Source organism: Homo sapiens, chromosome 19 (genome assembly GCF_000001405.40).
Source record: "Homo sapiens chromosome 19, GRCh38.p14 Primary Assembly".
Lineage (NCBI taxonomy): Eukaryota > Metazoa > Chordata > Mammalia > Primates > Hominidae > Homo > Homo sapiens.
Genome location: NC_000019.10, coordinates 47,114,427 through 47,134,534, shown reverse-complemented (window position 1 = coordinate 47,134,534; position 20,108 = coordinate 47,114,427). Strand labels below are relative to the sequence as shown.

At 49.1% G+C, this 20,108-nt stretch overlaps 1 protein-coding gene across 4 annotated transcripts in view, besides 2 other annotated features; it reads right to left on the bottom strand.

Moving 5' to 3' along the window:
- Positions 1-3,700, bottom strand: part of SAE1 (SUMO1 activating enzyme subunit 1) — a 79,802-nt gene extending 76,102 nt beyond the window's left edge. For 3 of the 4 annotated variants that reach the window (NM_005500.3, NM_001145714.2, NM_001145713.2), the window contains exon 1: positions 3,507-3,700. In NM_005500.3, the coding sequence (NP_005491.1) occupies positions 3,507-3,604 (98 nt within the window). In that variant the 5' untranslated portion in view covers positions 3,605-3,700. Of the gene's footprint in view, positions 1-3,422 lie in introns of all 4 variants that reach the window. The other variant, NR_027280.2, reaches the window with a different exon arrangement.
- Positions 3,312-3,926: an enhancer, noted in NCBI's record as "NANOG-H3K27ac-H3K4me1 hESC enhancer chr19:47633866-47634480 (GRCh37/hg19 assembly coordinates)". NCBI's record gives its function as "activates a minimal SCP1, AML or CMV promoter by ChIP-STARR-seq in naive H9 embryonic stem cells {active_cell/tissue: H9 hESC(naive)}" and the evidence as "EXISTENCE:reporter gene assay evidence [ECO:0000049][PMID:30033119]".
- Positions 3,380-3,619: an enhancer, noted in NCBI's record as "active region_14859". NCBI's record gives its function as "activates an Ori minimal core promoter by ATAC-STARR-seq in GM12878 lymphoblastoid cells {active_cell/tissue: GM12878}" and the evidence as "EXISTENCE:reporter gene assay evidence [ECO:0000049][PMID:35858748]".

Here is a 20,108-nt window from a genome sequence, read left to right as displayed (position 1 = left end):
AGCAGTCCCTAAAATCAATGCAGTCCACCTATGTCCAGAGGCACATTCTCATCACTTAATTCCCAATCTATTCCAGGTGCCTTCAACCCTCCCACCAATGTTAATGCCTCATGATGACATCCCCCCACCCCATCAAAGAAGACCCCACAGATCTGAAATGAGCCTGAGGTAATTCCCATCCCACCACTGCACCCTCTAAAACCTTCTGAAAGCTCCCACCCCCTCAAACTAAATTCTCCTGACGTGTCTGCCTCCCCAACCCCTCCATTAATTCTATACTCTGTACTCACACAATACCCACCATCACCCAAATTTTACCTCTGAACTCAACCCCTCACATATTTCTACTTAGTTGTATAAAAAAACAAATCTGAGGCCGGGCATGGTGGCTCACACCTGTAATCCCAGCACTTTGGGAGGCCGAGGCAGGTGGATCACGAGGTCAGGGGTTCAACACCAGCCTGACCAACACGGTGAAACTCCGTCTCTACTAAAAATACAAAAATTAGCTGGGCATGGTGGCGGGCGCCTGTAATCCCAGCTACTCGGGAGGCTGAGGCAGGAGAATTGCTTGAACCTGGGAGGCAGAGGTTGCAGTGAGCCGAGACCATGCCACTGCACTCCAGCCTGGGCGACAGAGTGAGACTCCGTCTCAAAAAAAAAAAAAACAAACAAAAAAAACAAATCTGAAACCTAAAAGAGAACTGACTCTTCCCCGACCCCACCAAACCTACAGCTCTCCATATCTTTCAAAATGGCAATTCCATCGTTCCAGGTAGGTGCTCAAGCCAAAAACAGTGGTGTCATCCTGGACTTCTGCCCCAAATTCTGTTCCCTCTTCTACCTTCAAAATATATCCAGAATATATTTATTTGACCCCTTCTCTTGAGTTTCAAGCCACCAATATTTTTATCTCAACTGGATTACTGCAACAGTCCAGCCAGAATCTTTACTTCCATTTCTGACCACTTTAACCTATTCTGGAGCGATCATTTTAAAACACAAACCAGGCCAGGCCGCAGTGGCTCACGCCTGTAATCACAGCACTTTGGGAGCCCAAGGCAGGCGGATCACGAGGTCAGGAGATCGAGACTATCCTGTCTAACATGGTGAAACCCCGTCTCTACTAAAAATACTCAAGATTAGCCGGGTGTTGTGGCACATGCCGATAGTCCCAGCTACTCAGGAAGGTGAGGCAGGAGAATCGCTTGAACCTGGGAGGCGGATTCACTGCAATGGCAGTGAGCCGAGATCGTGCCATTGCACTCCAGCCTGGGCCACAGAGCAAGACTCCGTCTCAAAAAACAAACAAAAAACAGATCATGTTACTCCCACACTCAAAACACTCCAACAGGTTTTCCCACACACTTAGAATAAAAGCTACTCCTCAAATCATTTGGTTCCTGCCACCTTATTTCTCTAATTTGACAATCATGCCTGGGCCTCTGGGAATTTGCACTTGCTGTTCTCTTAGCTAGGAAAGTTCTCCCAGATGACCACAGGGCTCTTTCCCATATAAGTCTGAGGCTCAATGTTACCTCTTCAGAGCCCTTCCCTGGCCAACCTATCAAAACAACCCTCTCACTTCACCATCCTTTAATAACTGACACATATACACACGCTTGTGGATTTTTTTTTTTTTTTTGAGACGGGGCCTCACTCTGTCACCCAGGCTGGGGTGTAGTGGTGTGATCATGGCTCACTGCAACCTCCACCTCCCAGGGGCTCAGGTGATGCTCCCACCTCAGTCTCCTGACAAGCTGGGACTATAAACTTATGTCACCATGCCTGGCTAATTTTTGTATTTTTTTGTAGAGACTGGGTTTGGCAACATTACCCAGGCTAGTCTCAAACTCCTGGGCTCAAGAGGTCCCCTCCCCCCAACTCAGCTTCCCAAAGTGCTGGGATTACAGGTGTGAGTCACTGCGTCCAGGCTAAGTAAAAATATTGATCAATGAGGCCAGGCATGGTAGCTCATGCCTGTAATCCCAGCATTTTAGGAGTCTGAGATGGGGGGAGATCTCTTGAGGCCGAGGATCGCTTGAGCTTGGGAGTTCAAGACCAGTCTGGGCAACATGGCAAAACCCCATCCTACAAAAAAAAAAAAAAACAAAAATTAGTCGGATGATGTGGTGGGGCACGCCTGTAGTCCCAGCTACTTGGGAGGCTGAAGAGGGAATATCCCTTGAGCCTTGGAGGTTGAGGCTACAGTGAGCTGTGATCCCACCACTGCACTCCACTGGGCCACAGAGAAAGAAAAAAAAAAAAAACAAGCTGGGCACAGTGGCTCACGTCTGTAATCCAACCACTTTGGGAGGCTGTGGCGGGCAGATCACTTGAGGTCCGGAGTTTGAGACCAGCCTGGCCAACATGGTGAAAACCCATGTCTACTAAAAATACAAAAATTAGCCAGGCATGGTGGCGCGAGCCTGTAATCCCAGCTACTCAGAAGACTGAGGTGAGAGGAAGTCTTGAACCCGGGAGGCCAGAGGCTGCAGTGAACCGAGGTCACCCAACTGCACAAAACAAAAGACGTCCTGGCGCGGTGGCTCACTCCTGTAATCCCAGCACTTCAGGAGGCCGAGGCGGGTGGATCACTTGAGGTAAGGAGATCGAGACCAGTCTCGTCAATATGGCGAAACCCCGTGTCTACTAAAAATACAAAAATTAGCCGGGCGTGCTGGCGGGCCCCTATAATCCCAGCTACTCGGGAGGCTGAGTTAGGAGAATCGCTTGAATCCGGGAGGCAGAGGTTGCAGTGAGCCGAGATCGCGCCACTGCCCTCCAGCCTGGGCGACAGAGAGAGACTATCTCAAAAAAAAAAAAAAAAAAAAAAAGAATTCCCTAAGCTACTCCACAATGCCCAAACTACGTCTCCTGTCCTATCAAGACACAGCCCCATACCAAACACAAGCAACCTTTTCGGGAGCCTACGGCCGTCCCCCTCCAGCCTCTCCGAGCCTCTCAAGATTCCCATTTGAGATAACTTGCTCCAAAACTCCTCAAAACCCGCATTCTCTCAGACTGGCCCGCCCGTGAGCTCCCACAAGAGTGTAAGCTCCCGTCTGTCCGGTTGGCCAGTCCAGTCTCCCCTGTGTGCAGCACGGAACCAGGTCCCATACCCTCGAATGAATGAACTGCGTCCCTCACCTCACCCTTTCCACGTATCCCCAGCCCCTCTTATCCCCTAACCGCGATCAAACCCCACAATCACCGCTTTCGGGCCTCGGATTTCCTGAGTTTGAATTCTCCCGCTCTCTCAGGACTCCCCAACGCCCCCTTCAGAGCTCCCATCCTTCGGAACGGCCCTCCCAACCACTTCCCAGACCTTCCAGAAACATCCCCAATCAACTCCTCCAGTCCCCCCAAGAGAGAGACGATCCCAGAGCACAGAATTCCCGCCTCCTCCCTTCAAATCACACCTTCCCGCTCCTTCCGGGCCGCAAACGCCTCAGAATAGACGCCCCCTCCAGACCCTAGCGGCCTCAAGCCGCGCCGGCCCTGACCGTTTCTGGGCCTCCAGTCCCCACAGGCGGATCTGCCGGTCATACTGTGCCGCCTCCTCCTCGCTAATGCCGCCGCCAGCCTCCTCCTTCTCCACCATGGCGCCGGCTCTTCCTGCCTCAGCTCCGGTCCCGCTCAAGCCAACCGCCCGCCGGACCCGCGCGCCACCTACCGCCGCCGGCAGCACGCCCGGAGTGCTTCTGCGCATGCGCAGACCCTCCCACGCCTGCGCAGTACCTCGTCCGCGGAGCCTGGGACCAAAAGTACCTCACGAGACTCAAAGGCGATCCGGCGACTGCATGTCACGTGACGGAGGGTCCAACCAATCCTAGCCCCAAAAATGGCGCGGCTTAAGGCCCCGAGGGCGTTGCCCACGTGGTCACTTATGTGGCACTTAAATTCTGCAAATATTTAAGGAGTGCATACTGAGATCCCAGCAATAGGGATGTTGTAAAATAACGGTATTGAGTGAAATCGACAAAGCCCTGTCCTCATGGAGTTTACGATCCAGTGAGAAAAGCCCGAAGAGAAATAAATATAAACCCAGCGATGATAAATGCTTTGGAGAAAAATAAAGCAGGACATGGGGCTACAGAGTAACAGGGGTGGTCAGGGAAGGCTTATCAGAGGTGACATTGAACTGTCAATTTTTTTTTTTTTTTTTCATAGAGATGGGGTCCCTCTGTTGCCTAGGCTGGTCTCCAACTCCTGGCCTCAAGCCATCCTCCCGCCTCTGCCTCCCAAAGTGCTGGGATTACAACCATGAGCCACTGTGCCCAGCCTTTCATGTCCCTACTATGTGTTGCACTTTGTGCCCAGCCCTGGACATACAATAATAATAAAAATGAACACATCTCTGCCTTAGAGGCAGTCACGGCCCAGTGGGAGAGAGGAGCGTTAAGAAAACAGGAATAGGCCAGGCACGGTGACTCGCACCTGTAATCTCAGCACTTCGGAAGGCCAAGGCAGGCAGATTACTTTAAATCAGGAGTTGGAGACCAGCCTGGCTAATGTGGTGAAATCCCGTCTTTAGTAAAAATAAAAAAATTAGCAGGGCATGGTGGCTCACACTTGTAGTCCCAGCTACTTGGAAGGCTGAGGTAGGATAATTGCTTGAATCCGGGAGGCGGAGGTTGTAGTAAGCCAAGATCATGCCTCTGCACTCCAACCTGGGTAACAGAGCAAGACTCTGTAAAAAAAAAAAAAAAAGAAAGAAAGAAAGAAAGGAAGGAAGGAGGGAGGGAAAGAGAGAGGGAAAGGAAGGAAGGAAGGGAAAAAAAAAAAAAACCAGGGATGGCCCCAGGTGGTCAATATAGGGAAACGCTATCTCTATTAAAAATACAAAAATTAGCTTGGTGTGGTGGTACTGAGTCTATAGTCCCAGCTACGTGGGAGGCTGAGGTGGAAGGATTTCTGATGTTAGAATCATAGGCTTTTTGGCAGGGCACAGTGGCTCATGCCTGTAATCCCAGCACTTTGGGACGCCAGGGAGGGCAGATCACGAAGTCAGGAGTTCGAGACCAGCCCGGCCAAGATGGTGAAACCCCCATCTCTACTAATACTAAAAAATTAGCCGGGCGTGGTGGCACACGCCTGTAGTCTCAGCCAATTGGGAGGCTGAGGCCGGAGAATCGCTTGAACCTGGGAGGCAGAGGTTGCAGTGAGCCAAGATCCTGCCACTGCACTCCAGCATGGATGACAGAGACTCCCGTCTAAAAAAAAAAAAAAAAAAGCCACCATGCCCACCTAACTTTTGTATTTTTAGTAGAGACAGGGATTGCACCATGTTGGCCAGGCTGGTCTCGAACTCCTGAACTTGTGATCCACCCGCCTCGGCCTCCCAAAGTGCACGGATTACAGGTGTGAGCCACCATGCCTGGCGGAATCATAGATTTTTATTTAAGAATTGCTTAGGCCGGAGGTGGTGGCTCACGCCTGTAATCCCAGCATTTTGGGAGGCAGAGGTGGGCGGATCACGAGGTCAGGAGTTCGAGATCAGCCTGGCTAACATGGTGAAACCTTGTCTCTACTAAAACTACAAAAAATTAGCCGGGCGTGGTGGCAGGCGCATGTAGTCCCAGCTACTGAGGAGGCTGAGGCAAGAGAATAGCATGAACCTGGGAGATGGAGCTTGCAGTGAGCCGAGTTCGCGCCACTGCACTCCAGCCTGGGCAACAGAGCAAGACTCCGTCTCAGAAAAAAATAAATAAATAAATAAATAAATAAATAATAAGAATTGCTTAGCGCCCGGCATGGTGGCTCATGCCTGTAATCCATGCGCTTTAGGAGACTGAGATAGGAAAATCACTTGAAGTCAGGAGTTCATGACCAGCCTGGGCAACATGACAAGACCCCTGTCTCTACAAAAAAAAAAATTTTTTAATTAGCTGGGTGTGGTGGTGCGTGCCTGTAATCCCAGCTACTTGGGAGGCTAAGGTGGAAGGATCCTTTGAGCCCAGGCGTTAGAGGCTGCAATGAGCTATGATGGCACCACTGCACTCCAGCCTGGACAACAGACCTTGTCTCAAAAAAAAAAAAAAAAAAAAAAAAGCTTAAGATATTTTTCAGATCCTGAATTCCAGCAAAACAGCTGATACCAACCAGTGTGAAGACCCCGCAGAGGAACCAAATCGACAGGAGAATAGAGTTTCTTCAACTCCCTGTTTCATTACTTCACCCTGCACACTTCAACCAACCAATGACCTCCACACTTCAACCCACTCCAAAACCCTTAAAAAGCCCCGAACTCCCTGGGGAAGTGGATTCGTGGTTCCTTCCATCTCCTCTCTTGGTTTTCAGTGGCCCCTATGATTAAACCTCTTTCTCTGCTGCAACCTGGGGTCTCCTACTATTGACTTGCTGCAAGCATTGGGGGGAAGGACCTATTATGATGGAAAAGCTTTCAATAGGCCAGGCACTGTGGCTCATGTCTGTAATCCCAACACTTTGAGAGGATCACTTGAGGCCAGGAGTTTGAGGCTGTCAAACACAGCCAGACCCCGTCTCTACAAAAAAATATAAAAATTAGGCCGGGCACAGTGACTCATACCTGTAATCCCAGCACTTTGGGAGGCATGGACGGGAGGATCACCTGAGGTCAGGAGTTAGAGACCAGCCTGGCCAACATGGTGAAACCCCATCTCTACTCAAAATACAAAAATTAGCCGAGTGTGGTGGTGTGCGCCTGTGATCCCAGCTACCCAGGAGGCTGAAGGCGGAGAATCACTTGAACCCGGGAGGTGGAGTTTGTAGTGAGTGGAGATCTTGCCATTGCACTCTAGCCTGGGCAACAGAGCGAGACTCTGTCACAAAAATAAATAAATAAATAAAATAAAGATTAAAAATTAAAGTTCTGATTCCAAAGTTTTTTGCACTTTGGTGTGCCACTTCCTAATCTCCGGGGAAAATGCCAGTTACAAGATCAAATAACCACTTTGTGCAGGAAACGACATTTAGAATTCAGAGAATGACCCAGCTGCAAAGGGCTGTGTCAAGTATCTTTTAGATAAGCCTCTGAAAATAAAGTGCTGTTTAGTTGCCTTATATTATTAAAGGAAAATGTACATGGATTATAGAAAGAAAAATAGAGGCCAGGCACGGTGGCTCATGCCTGTAATACCAGCACTTTGGGAGGCCGAGGCGGGCGGATCACCTGAGGTCGGGAGTTCGAGACCATCCTGACCAAAGTGGAGAAACCCCATCTCTACTAAAAATACAAAATTTTAGGCATGGTGCCGCATGCCTGTAATCCCAGCTACTTGGGAGGCTGAGGCAGGAGAATCGCTTGAACCTGAGAGGTGGAGGTTGCAGTGATCCGAGATTGTGCCATTGCACTCCAGCCTGGGCAACAAGAGCAAAACTCTGTCTCAAAAGAAAGAAAGAAAGTAATCCTGGGCTGGGCGCGGTGGCTCACGCCTGTAATCCCAGGACTTTGGGAGGTCAAGGTGGGTGGATCACAAGGTCAGGAGTTCGAGACCAGCCTGGCCAATATGGTGAAACCCGGTCTCTACTAAAAATACAAAAAAATTAGCCAGGCGTGGTGGCACATGCCTGTAATCCCAGCTACTCGGGAGGCTGAGGCAGGAGAATTGCTTGAATCCGGGAGGCAGAGGTTGCAGTGAGCTGAGATCGCGCCACTGCACCCCGGTCTGGGTGACAGAGCGAGACTCTGTCTCAAAAAAAAAAACAAAAACAAAACAAAAAAGAAAGTAATCCTGAAGGTCCATGGCATATAGTAATTCGTAATTGGTTAGGGAGTGACCCAGTGACCCAGGTTCTTACCTGTGACTATGCCATAACTCTTGTAAAATGATCACTTTGTTGGCCAGGCGCGGTGGCTCACGCGTGTAATCCCAGCACTTTGGGAGGCAGAGGCGGGCGGATCATGAGGTCAGGAGATCGAGACCATCCTGGCTAACACGGTGAAACCCCGTGTCTACTAAAAATACAAAAAATTAGCTGGGCATGGTGGCGGGTGCCTGTAGTCCCAGCTACTCGGGAGGCTGAGGCAGGAAAATGGTATGAACCCAGGAGGCAGAGCTTGCACTGAGCCAAGATAGCGCCACTGCACTCCGGCCTGGGCAAAAGAGCGAGACTCCGTCTCAACAAAAAAAAAAGAAAAGAAAAAGAGCCCTGAAAATAAAGCTAATTGCTGCATAAATTATTTTCTCCTGTACTTGCAGACTCATTGAAGGTCTAAAAGTGTCTCCCTTTCCTCTCTTCACTTCTACTTTTTATAGTTTCTGGGAAAAATTAAATGTGATGGTATAGTCTCATGTTTGGAAATATGCATCCTTTTAAAAAAACATTTTTATTGGCTGGGCCCGGGGGCTCACACCTATAATCCCAGCACTTTGGGAGGCCGAGGCAGGTGGATCACAAGGTCAGGAGATTGAGACCATGCTGGTCAACATGGTGAAACCCTGTCTCTACTAAAAATACAAAAAAATTAGCTGGGTGTGGTGGCGCATACCTGTAGTCCCAGCTACTTGCGAGGCTGAGGCAGGAGAATGGGTTGAACCTGAGAGGTGGAGGTTGCAGTGAGCTGAGATTGCGCCACTGCACTCCAGCCTGGCAACAGGTCAAGACTCCCTCTCAAAAAAAAAAAAAAAAAGACATTTTTATTGAGGTGAAATTCACATAATATAAAATTAGGCAGCATTTTGAAGTGCACAATTTAGTGGCTTTTAGTACTTTCACCATATTATACAATCACCACCTCAATCTAGTTGCAAAACATTTTCACTATCCCAAGAGTGGTGGCATAAGTCTTAAATGGCCAGGAGTCAACTATGATTTTGCTATGTAAACAATTTCAAAAGAACTGGAATAGTTCAGTGTTACAGCTTAGCATAATTTAGTATAAACAGTCCTTTCCCCACTTTTTAAGTGCTATCTGAGCTTTATTCATTAGGTGATTATTAATTAGGAATGCTATATTGTAGAACATCTTGGCATGTCTGGTCCTTGTCCTCTAATCCCAGTAACAAACCCTTCACCATTGTGACGATGAAAAAAGGTAAGTTTCCAAATTCTCCCAAGGAAGCAATACTGTTCCCTTGAGAACCAGATGACAACCAAAAAACCAGTCGTTAATTTTCCTTAATAATTTCCAAAATGTCCTCTAGGGGGCAACATTATCCCTTGAGAACCAGGTAGACCAATCACTCCTCTTCCAGCCTGGATCTCAGGACCTCTCACCTCCTCAATGAATCTGCGATTGGATTAGCAAGGAAGAAAGGGAAAAAATGCTATGGGTTGGTGGTCAGCAGGTTCCAACAAAATGGAAATGCCTCTCTTTGGCCAATGGTCTCCTCCTTTGTTCTCCAGGCGTTGGTGCCAAATGGTAGTGCTTCTTCCACACTCTGGAGGAACTTCTCTGTGAATGCCTCCTCACTCACAGTGTAAATAACCCTCCCTAGAGCCATCCCAGGAACTGGAGAAAAAACAGGTCTTTCATCAGCATAATTACTGGCCGGTGGCAGTGGCTCACACCTGTAATCCCACCACTTTGGGAGGCCGACGTAGGAAAATCAATGAAGGTCAGGTGGTCAAGACCAGACTGGGCAACATACGGAGACCCCCTTCTCTAGAAAAAAGAAAAAATTCTGGCTGGGCGTGGTGGCTCATGCCTGTAATCCCAGCACTTTGGGAGTCCGAGGCAGGCGGATCACGAGGTCAGGAGTTTGAGACCAGCCTGGACAATATGGTGAAACCCCATCTCTACTAAAAATACAAAATTGGCCGGGCGCGGTGGCTCAGGCCTGTAATCCCAGCACTTTGGGAAGCCGAGGCAGGCGGATCACAAGGTCAGGAGATTGAGACCATCGTGGCTAACACGGTGAAACCCCGTCTCTACTAAAATTACAAAAAAAAAAATTAGCCGGGCGTGGTGGCGGGTGCCTGTAGTCCCAGCTACTCGGGAGGCTGAGGCAGGAGAATGGCATGAAGCCAGAAGGCAGAGCTTGCAGCAAGCAGAGATAGCGCCACTGCACTCCAGCCTGGGCGACAGAGCGAGACTGCGTCACACACACACACAAAATTAGCCGGGTATTGGGCCAGGCGCGGTGGCTCACACCTGTAATCCCAGCACTTTGGGAGGCTGAGGCAGGTGGATCATGAGGTCAGGAGATCGAGACCATCCTGGCTAACATGGTGAAACCCCGTCTCTACTAAAATACAAAAAAAAAAAAAAAAGAAAGAAAATTGGCCGGGAGTGGTGGCGGGTGCCTGTAATCCCAGCTACTCAGGAGGCTGAGGCAGGAGAATGGTGTGAACCCGGAACGCGGAGCTTGCAGTGAGCTGAGATCACACCACTGCACTCCAGCCTGGGCAACAGAGGGCAACTCCGTCTCCAAAAAAAAAAAAAAAAAAAATTATCAGGCATGGTGGTGTGCACCTGTGGTCTCAGCTACTTAGGAGGCTAAGGCTGGAGGATCACTTGAGCCAAGGAGGTGGAGGCTGCAGTGATCTGTGATTGTGCCACTGTACTCCAGCCTGGGCGACAGAGCAAGACCTTGTTTCATAATAATTAAATAATTATAATAATAATAATATCGATGTACCAAGAGCAGAAAGAAACAGGTACCATGGAAGTATTAGCTGACTTATGTGCATTTAAGGAAGTTCAATAAAAAAAAAAAAAATACAGAGACCTGCCAGCCCAGAGATATTTTGGAGGTCCGGGAGAAGAGTTTTGTTAGAATTTTGTTTTTTCCCTAAACACAGGGCAAGCTACTGAAACTTTCATCCCCTATACCCCCATCCTTTGATGGAAAAGGTGGTAAGAAAAAGCCCTTTGGAATTTTGGGGGCAGCTTGTATCATGGCCGGGAGACCTGCTCTCACTCATCAGCGAAGTGAACTGTAAGGCCGGTGGAGCCCAGAGCAAGAGGAGATTCTCTAGCCTGTCCAGGATGTGGTGCAAATGACTCTACCATTTAGGTCTTATAACCCAGCAGATGCACAAAATATGTGCGTGCAGTACAATACACTGTTCTTTTTTTTTTTTTTTTTTAAGGCAGAGTCTCACTCTGTCTCCCAGGCTGGAGTGCAGTGGCACAATTTCAGCTCACTGCAATCTCCACCTCCCAGGTTCAAGCGATTCTCACGCCTCAGCCTCCCGAGTAGCTGGGATTACAGGCATGCCCCATGACGCCCAGCTAAATTTTTTGTATTTTTAGTAGAAATGGATATTCACCATGTTGGTCAGGCTGGTCTCGAACTCCTGACCTCAAGTGATCTGCCCACCTAGGAATCCCAAAGTACTGGGATTACAGGCATGAGCCACCAGCCACCGTGCCTGGCCCCTGTCTTCTTTTATTATGGACATTTAAGCAGTTCCCAGTTAGGGGCATTTTTTGTTTGTTTGTTTGTTTTTGATAAGGAATCTGGCTGTGTCACCCAGGCTAGAGTGCAGTGGCACAATCTTGGCTGACTGCAACCTCCGCCTCCTGGATTCAAGCGATTCTCCTGCCTCAGCCTCCCGAGGAGCTGGGATTATAGGTGCCCACCACCACGTCCAGCTAATTTTTGTATTTTAGTAGAGACAGGGTCTGACATGTAGGTCAAGCTGGTCTCGAACTCCTGACCTCAAATGATCCGCCCTCCTTGGCCTCCCAAAGCGCTGGGATTCCGCATCTGGCCACTTAGGGGCTATTTCTTTTCTTTTCTGTTTTTTGTTTTGTTTTGTTTTGTTTTGTTTTCCAGCTCACTGCAACCTCCACCTCCTGGACTCAAGTGATCCTCCTCCCTCAACCTCCCAAGTAGCTGGGACTGCTGACGTGAGCCACCATGGTTTGTTAATTTTTTTATTCTTTGTAGAGACAGGGACTCACTATGTTGCCCTACTGGTCTCAAACCTCTAGGCTCAAGCAATCTTTCTGCCTCGGCCTCCCAAAATGCTGGGGTTACAAGCATGAGCCACTGTACACAGCGCAAAGTGGTTATTTAAAGTTGCAGCGGTGTCAGAGCATTCCAATCATTCCACATAATCATGTAATACCTAGTTTAGTCACACTGTGGAATACTATAGAGAAATGAGAATGAATGAAATATAACTACATGCCACAAACATAATGTGGAATGAAAGAAGCCAGACACAAAAGAGTACATATTATGGATTCCATTTTTATGAGAAAATTAAGACAAATTAAGAGAATATTTATGTATGTAGCTAGAAGTTAGAATGGTGATTGCTTTAGAAGGACCAGTGACTACATGGGAACAGGACGGGGACTCTGCTCTGCTTATAATTTTCTGTTTCTTGATTTAGCTGCTGGTTACATAGAATATTCACTTTGCGTAAATGTGTCAAGCTGCGTACCTGTGATTATATGCTTTTTCTGTACGTATGTTATTCTTCAATAAAAAATAGCCCGAGGCTGAGGTGGGCGGATTACCTGAGGTCAGGAGTTCCAGACCAGCCTGGCCAACATGTTGAAACCCTGTCTACTAGAAATACAAAAATTAGCCAGGTGTGGCAGTGGGCACCTATAGTCCCAGTTACTCAGGAGGTTGAGGTAGGAGAATCACTTGGAAGTGGGATGTGGAGGTTGCAGTGAGCCGATCCAGCCTGGGCCACAGAGCAAGACTGTCTCAAAACAAAAACAAAAACAAAAACAAAAACAGAAAACAACAAAAACCCCATAATAAAAATGAAATAAAACAGGGATATGTGTGTGTGTGTGTGTGTGTGTGTGTATATATATACACACACACACACACGTATACATTTTCTGTTTTTTTGAGACAGAGTCTTGCTCTGTCACTCAGGCTGGAGTGCAGTGGTACTATTTCGGCTCACTGCAACCTCCACTTCCTGGGTTCAAGTGATTCTGGTGCCTCAGCCTCCCAAGTAGCTGGGATTACAGGCATGAGCCATCGCACCTGGCTAAGAGTCATGTTTTTAACTTTTAAAATGTGTCCCTGGTCAGGCACAGTGGCTCATGCCTGTAATCCCAACACTTTGGGAGGCCGAGGCAGGCAGATCAGGAGGTCAGGAAATTGAGACCATCCTGGCCAAGATGGTGAAACCCCGTCTCTACTTAAATTACAAAAGTTAGCCAGGCGTGGCGGTGGGCACCTGTAATCCCAGCTACTCAGGAAGCTGAGGCAGGAGAATCGCTTGGACCCGGGAGGTGGAGGTTGCAGTGAGCCGAGATCCCACCACTGCACTCCAGCCTGGGCAACAGGGCGAGACTCTGTCTCAAAAAAAAAAAAAAAAAAAAGGCCAGGCGCAGTGTCTCACGCCTGTAATCCCAGCACTTTGGGAGGCCGAGGCGGGCAGATCACGAGGAGAGGAGATCGAGACCATCCTGGCTAACACGGTGAAACCCCGTCTCCACTAAAAATACAAAAAAAAAATTAGCCGGGTGTGGTGGCGGGCGCCTGTATTCCCAGCTACTCGGGAGGCTGAGGCAGGAGAACGGCATGAACCCGGGAGGCGGAGCTTGCAGTGAACCGAGATCCCACCACTGCACTCCAGCCTGGGCGACAGAGCAAGACGCTGTCTCAAAAAAAAAAAAAAATGTCCCCAGGCTGGGCGTGGTGGCTCATGCCAGTAATCCCAGAACTTTACGAGTCTGAGGAAGGCAGATCACTTGAGTTCAGGAGTTCAAGACCCGCCTGGGCAATATGGTGAAACTCCATCTCCACCAAAAATTCAAAAACAGCTGGGTGTGGTGGCACGACCTGTGGTCTCAGCTACTCATGAGGCTGAGGCAGGAGGACTGCTTGAGCCTAGGAGGTCCATGATGCAGTGAGCCATGATTGTGCCACTGTCCTCCAGCCTGGGTGACAGAATGAGACCCTGTCTCAAAGAACAAACAAACATGACTCATACAAAAACAGGGTGAGCAGATGTCAAAGGTGTTATTGAACTCATTAATGATGAAAGCAGCAGAAAAATAGAGATGGCTGAAAGAAGGAGCAGTGGATATTCTGGGGGGTGGGGGGGCTGGAAGGATGTTGCAATTATGTTGGGAAATTGGATACAAAACTGGCAAATTTCTTTCAGGCTTGTCTGTGATGCCAGACCAGTTATTACAAAGGAGATTCTTACACAAATTATTATCTAACTTTACTGAGTCTAGACACTAATCAACAGCTAAATAGTAAGTTAACTGGGTGCAGTGGCTCACACCTGTAATCCCAACACTTTGGGAGATTGAAGTGGGAGGATTGCTTGAGGTCAGGTGTTTGAGACCAACCTGGGCAATATAGGGAGACCTCATCCCTACGACAACACAAAAAAATTACCATGGTGGTGCACACCTGTAGTCCCAGCTACTCAGGAGACTGAGGCAGAAGGACTGTTTGAGCACAGGAGGTCAAGGTTGCAGTGAGCTATGATAGTGCCACTGCATGATAGCCTGGGGCACAGAGCAAGGCTCTGCTTGAAAATAAATAGTTGGCTGGGTGCGGTGGCTCACGCCTGTAATCCCAGCACTTTGGGAGGCTGAGGCGGGCGGATCACGAGGTCAGGAGATCGAGACCATCCTGGCTAACACGGTGAAACCCCGTCTCTACTAAAAATACAAAAAATTAGCCAGGTGTGGTGGCGGGCACCTGTAGTCCCAGCTACTCGGGAGGCTGAGGCAGGAGAATGGTGTGAACCCAGGAGGCAGAGCTTGCAGTGAGCCGAGATCTCGCCACTGCGCTTCAGCTTGGGCGACAGAGCAAGACTCAGTCTTGGGAAAAAAAAAAAAAGAAAATAAATAGTTACAAGAGCATCCAAAAAGTAGGGGAGTGGGAAAGGAACAGGAAATTGACAGAAAGTAGCGAAAATTGCCAGGTGCAGTGGCTCACGCCTATAATCCCAGCACTTTGGGAGGCTGAGGCGGGCCGATCACCTGAGGTCAGGAGTTCGAGACCAGCCTGGCCAACATGGTGAAACCCTGTCTCTACTAAAAGTACAAAAATTAGCTGGACGTGGTGGCAGGTGCCTGTAATCCTAGCTACCAAGAAGGCTGAGGCAGCAGAATCGCTTGAACCTGGGAGGCAGAAGTTGCAGTGAGCCAAGACTGTGCCATTGCATTCTAGCCTGGGCGACAAGAGCAAGACTCTGTGTCAAAAGAAAAAAAAAAAAAAAGAAAGTAGCTAAAGTCAAAACAATGGGCCGGGCACAGTGGCTCACGCCTGTAATCCTAAGACTCTGTGAGGCTCAAGTGGGAGGATCACTTGAGCTCAGGAGTAGTTCAAGACTAGCCTGGGCAACATGGTGAGACCCTGTTTCAAAAAAAAACCAGACAACATACACACACAAATTAGCTGGGTCTGGTTGCCCACGTATGCATTCTCAGCTACTTAGGGGGCTGAGGTAGGAAGATCACTTGAGCCAGGGAGGTCAAGGCTATAAGTGAGCCATGATTGTACCACTGCACTCCAGCCTGGATGACAGAGCGAGGCTCTGTCTCAGAAAAAAATAAAATTAAAAAAACAAAAAAAAGTCATGGGAGGCTGAAGCAGGATAATCGCTGGAACCAGGGAGGTAGAGGTGGCAGTGGGCCAAGATTGCACCACTGCACTCCAGCCTGGGCGACAAAGCAAGACTCCGTCTCAAAATAAATAAATAAATAGGCCGGCTGGGCGCAGTGGCTCACACCTGTAATCCCAGCACTTTGGGAGGCTGAGGCGGGTGGATCACCTGAGGTCAGGAGTTCGAAATTAGCCTGGCCAACATGGTGAAACCTCAGCTCTACTAAAAATAAAAAAAATTAAAAAAAAAAATGAGCTGGGAGTGGTGGCAGGCGCCTGTAATTCTAGCTACTGGGAAAGCTGAGGCAGGAGAATCGCTTGAACCCAGGATGCAGAGGTTGCAGTGAGCCGATATTGCACCATTGCACTCGACCCTGGGCGATAGAGTGAGATTCTGTCTCAAAAAAAGTAATAAAATAAATAAAATAAATAGGCTGGGCGCGGTGGCTCACGCCTGTAATTCCAGCACTTTGGGAGGCCGAGGCGGGGCGGGTCACTTGAGGTCGGGAATTCAAGACCAGCCTGGCCAACATGGTGAAACCCCATCTCTACTAAAAATACAAAAAATTTGGCCGGGCGCAGTGGCTCACGCCTGTAATCCCAACACTTTGGGAGGCAGAGGCGGGCGGATCGTGAGGTCAGGAGATCGAGACTGTCCTGGCTAATACAGTGAAACCCCGCCTCTACTAAAAATACAAAAAATTAGCCGGGCATGGTGATGGGCACCTGTAGTCCGAGCTACTCGGGAGGCTGAAGCAGGAGAACGGCGTGAACCCGGGAGGCGGAGCTTGCAGTGAGCCGAGATTGGCGGGGCGCAGTGACTCACGCCTGTAATCCCAGTACTTTGGGAGGCCGAGGCTGGCGGATCACAAGGTCAAGAAATGAAGACCATCCTGGCCAACATGGTGAAACCCTGTCTCTACCAAAAAGACAAAAATCAGCTGGGCGTGGTGGCACGTACCTGTAGTCCCAGCTACTCAGGAGGCTGAGGCAGGAAAATCGCTTGAACCTGGGGGGCGGAGGTTGTGGTGAGCCGAGATTGTCCAGCCTGGGCAACAAGAGTGAAACTCGGTCTCAAAAAAAAAAAAAAAAATTAGCTAGGCATTGTGCATGCCTGTAATCCCAGCTACTCCGGAGGCTGAGACAGCAGAATCGCTTGAACCTGGGAGGCGGAGGTTGCAGTGAGCCGAGATTGCACCACTGCACTCCAGCCTGGGAGACAGAGCGAGACTCTGTCTCAAAAACTAAAAAACTTGGCAGGGCACGGTGGGTCACACCTGTAATCCCAGCACTTTGGGAGGTCCAGGCAGGTGGATATAACCTGAGGTCAGGAGTTCTCGACCAGCCTGGACAACACGGTGAAACCCCATCTCTACTAAAATACAAAAAATTAGACAGGTGTGGTGGCGTGCGCGTGTAGTCCCAGCTACTCGGAAGGCTGAGGCAGGAAAATTGCTTGAATCTGGGAGGCAGAGGTTGCAGTGAGCCAAGATTACGACACTGCACTCCAGCCTGGGAGACACAGCGAGACTCTGTCTCAAAAACTAACTAAACAGGCAGGGCACGGTGGCTCACACCTGTAATCCCAGCACTTTGGGAGGCCGAGGCGAGCGAATCACAAGGTCACGAGTGTGAGACTGCAGGGCCAACATGGTGAAACCCCGTCTCTACTAAAAACACAAAAAATTAGTTGGGCATGGTGGTGGGCGCCTGTAATCCCAGCTACTTGGGAGGCTGAGGCAGGAGAATCACTTGAACCCTGGAGGCAGAGGTTGCAGTGAGCCGAGATTGTGCCACTGCTCTCCAGCCCGTGTGACAGTACGAGGCTCTGTCTCAAAAAAATAAAAATAAATAAATAAATAAATAAAAATAAAAAAGTCAGATGAAGTGTCAGAAGGGCTTGGCAGACAATGTTCCACAATGTTCCATCATGACACTGAAGAAGTACAGGGAATTCCTGCTTGGTGGGATTTTTGTTTTCCCCATTACTTAAAAGCAGATGGCCATCTAGAATTGTAGAATGGCCCCATTGAAACTACAGAGATGGGGCCCCTTCAGGACCATACCTTGAAAAGACAATGGCTGTCCTCTTAGATGTGGTCTATGTTCTCAATCAGTGATTTTGTCCATAACCCAGAATACATGAGGTCCAAAAATCAAGGTGTAAAGGAAGGAATGGCACCATCCACAATCGAACATAGTGAGCTACTTTGGTGTCCTTCCTTTCCATTCCTACAAACCTGAAGTATTAGTTCTTGGTGTGTTAAAGAAAACTTTTTGGACAACATAGCTATGAGCATGAGTGAACATTTTATTACAATCTTACATGCAAGGAAAAAAGGTCTCTTGTTGGCCAATTAAGATTCACTCTAATAGGGACATTTTATAGGAGAAGAGAATAATTATCTAACCATTAGATCTGAGATTGGATCCAGAAAGACGATAGTCAGGGTAAAGGTAACACAATTCTTGGCTGGCAACTGGGGTACCAGGTGGGATGGTGGGGGGAGCACCAGCTTCTTAAAACAAGTTTCATCCACTGATGATTTATTTTAAGCATTTTGTCAGGAATTTTCTTCTCGCTGTGTCACCCAGGCTCTAGTGTAGTGGTGTGAGCTCGGCTCCCTGCAACCTCTGTCTCCTGGGTTCAAGCGATTCTCCTGCCTCAGCCTCCTGAGTAGCTGAGACTACAAGCAACTGCCACCACACCCGGCTAATTTTTTTTGTATTTTTAGTAGAGACAGGGTTTCACCACGTTGGCCAGGCTGCTCCTGACCTCGTGATCCACCTGCCTAGAGTTCTCAAAGTGCTGGGATCACAGGCGTGAGCCACTGTGCCTGGCCTTATTTTTATTTTTATTTATTTATTTTTTTTGAGACAAAGTCTCCACTGGAGTACAGTGGCATGATTATAGCTCACTGTAGCTTCAACCTCCTTCAACCTCCTGGGCTCCAGTGATTCTCCTGCCTCAGCCTCCCAAGTAGCTGGGGCCACAGGTGCATAGCATGAAGCCGGGCTAATGTTATGACTTCTTTTTTTTTTTTTTTGAGACGGAGTCTCGCTCTGTTGCCCAGGCTGGAGTGCAGTGGGGCTATCTGCAAGCTCCACCTCCCGGGTTCAAACCATTCTCCTGCCTCAGCCTCCCGAGTAGCTGGGACTACAGGCGCCCGCCACTATGCCCGGCTCATTTTTTGTATTTTTAGTAGAGACGGGGTTTCACTGGGTTAGCCAGGATGGTCTCGATCTCCTGTCCTCGTGATCTGCCCGCCTCGGCCTCCCAAAGTGCTGGGATTACAGGCGTGAGCCACTGCGCCCGGCCATGTTTTGACTTTTTGAAGAAACTGGGGTCTCACGATGTTGCCCAGGCTGGTCTTGAACCTCTGGGCTCAAGCAATCCTCCTGTGCTAGAATTATAGGCATGAGCCACTGTGCCGGCTGCAACATTTAATTTAATTAAAGTCTTTCTGTCACTCAGGCTGGAGTGCATGATCTTAGCTCACTGCAACCTCTGCCTCCCGGATTCAAGCGATTCTCCCCTCAGCTTCCCGAGTAACTGGTGATTACAGGTGCCGGCCACCACGCTTGGCTAATTTTTTTTTTTTTTTTTTTTTTTTTTTGAGACGGAGTCTTGCTCTGTCATCCAGGCTGGAGTGCAGTGGTGCCATCTTGGCTCACTGCAACCTCCACCCCCTAGGTTCAAGCGATTCTTCTGCCTCAGTCTCCCAAGTAGCTGGGATTACAGGCGCGCCACACCATGCCTGGCTAATTTTTTGTCTTTTTAGTAGAGACGGGGTTTCGTCACGTTGGCCAGGCTGATCTCAAACTCCTGACCTCAAGTGATCCGCCAGCCTCGGCCTCCCAAAGTGTTGGGATTATGGGTGTGTGCCACCACGCCCCGCTGCCAGCTGGAACATTTAAAAAACAGTAGGATCCGCTGGGCGCGGTGGCTGACGCCCGTAATCCCAGCACTTTGAGAGGCCGAGGCGGGCGGATCACGAGGTCAGGAGATCAAGACCATCCTGGCTAACGCGGTGAAACGCCGTCTCTACTAAAAATACAAAAAATCAGCTGGGCGTGGTGGCGGGCGCCTGTAGTCCCAGCTACTTGGGAGGCTGAGGCAGGAGAATGGCGTGAACCCGGGAGGCGGAGCTTGCAGTGAGCCGAGATCCGCGCCACTGCACTCCAGCCTGGGCGACAGAGCGAGACTCTGCCTCAAAAAAAAAAAAAAAAAAGTAGGATCAATATACCAGGAAGTCACATGGTGCCTCTGTCTCCAGATTTATCACTGTTGACACGGTTTTTCTCTCTTCCTGGAATCTAAGTGGTCTTTGCTTTGTCAGGGCCTGAAATAAGGTATTTCTTTTCTTTTTTTTTTGAGACAAGAGTCTCACTCTGTTGCCCAGGCTGGAGTGCAGTGGCATAATCTCGGCTCACTGCAGCCTCGCGACCTCCCGGGATCGGGCGATTCTCCCTCTTCAACATCCCGAGCAGCTGGGACTACAGGTGTGAGCCATCATGTCCTGCTAATTTTTGTATTTTTAGTAGAGAAGGGGTTTTACCATGTTCGTCAGGCTGGTCTCCAACCCGAGCTCAAGCGATCCGCCCGCCCCGGCATCCCAAAGTGCTAGG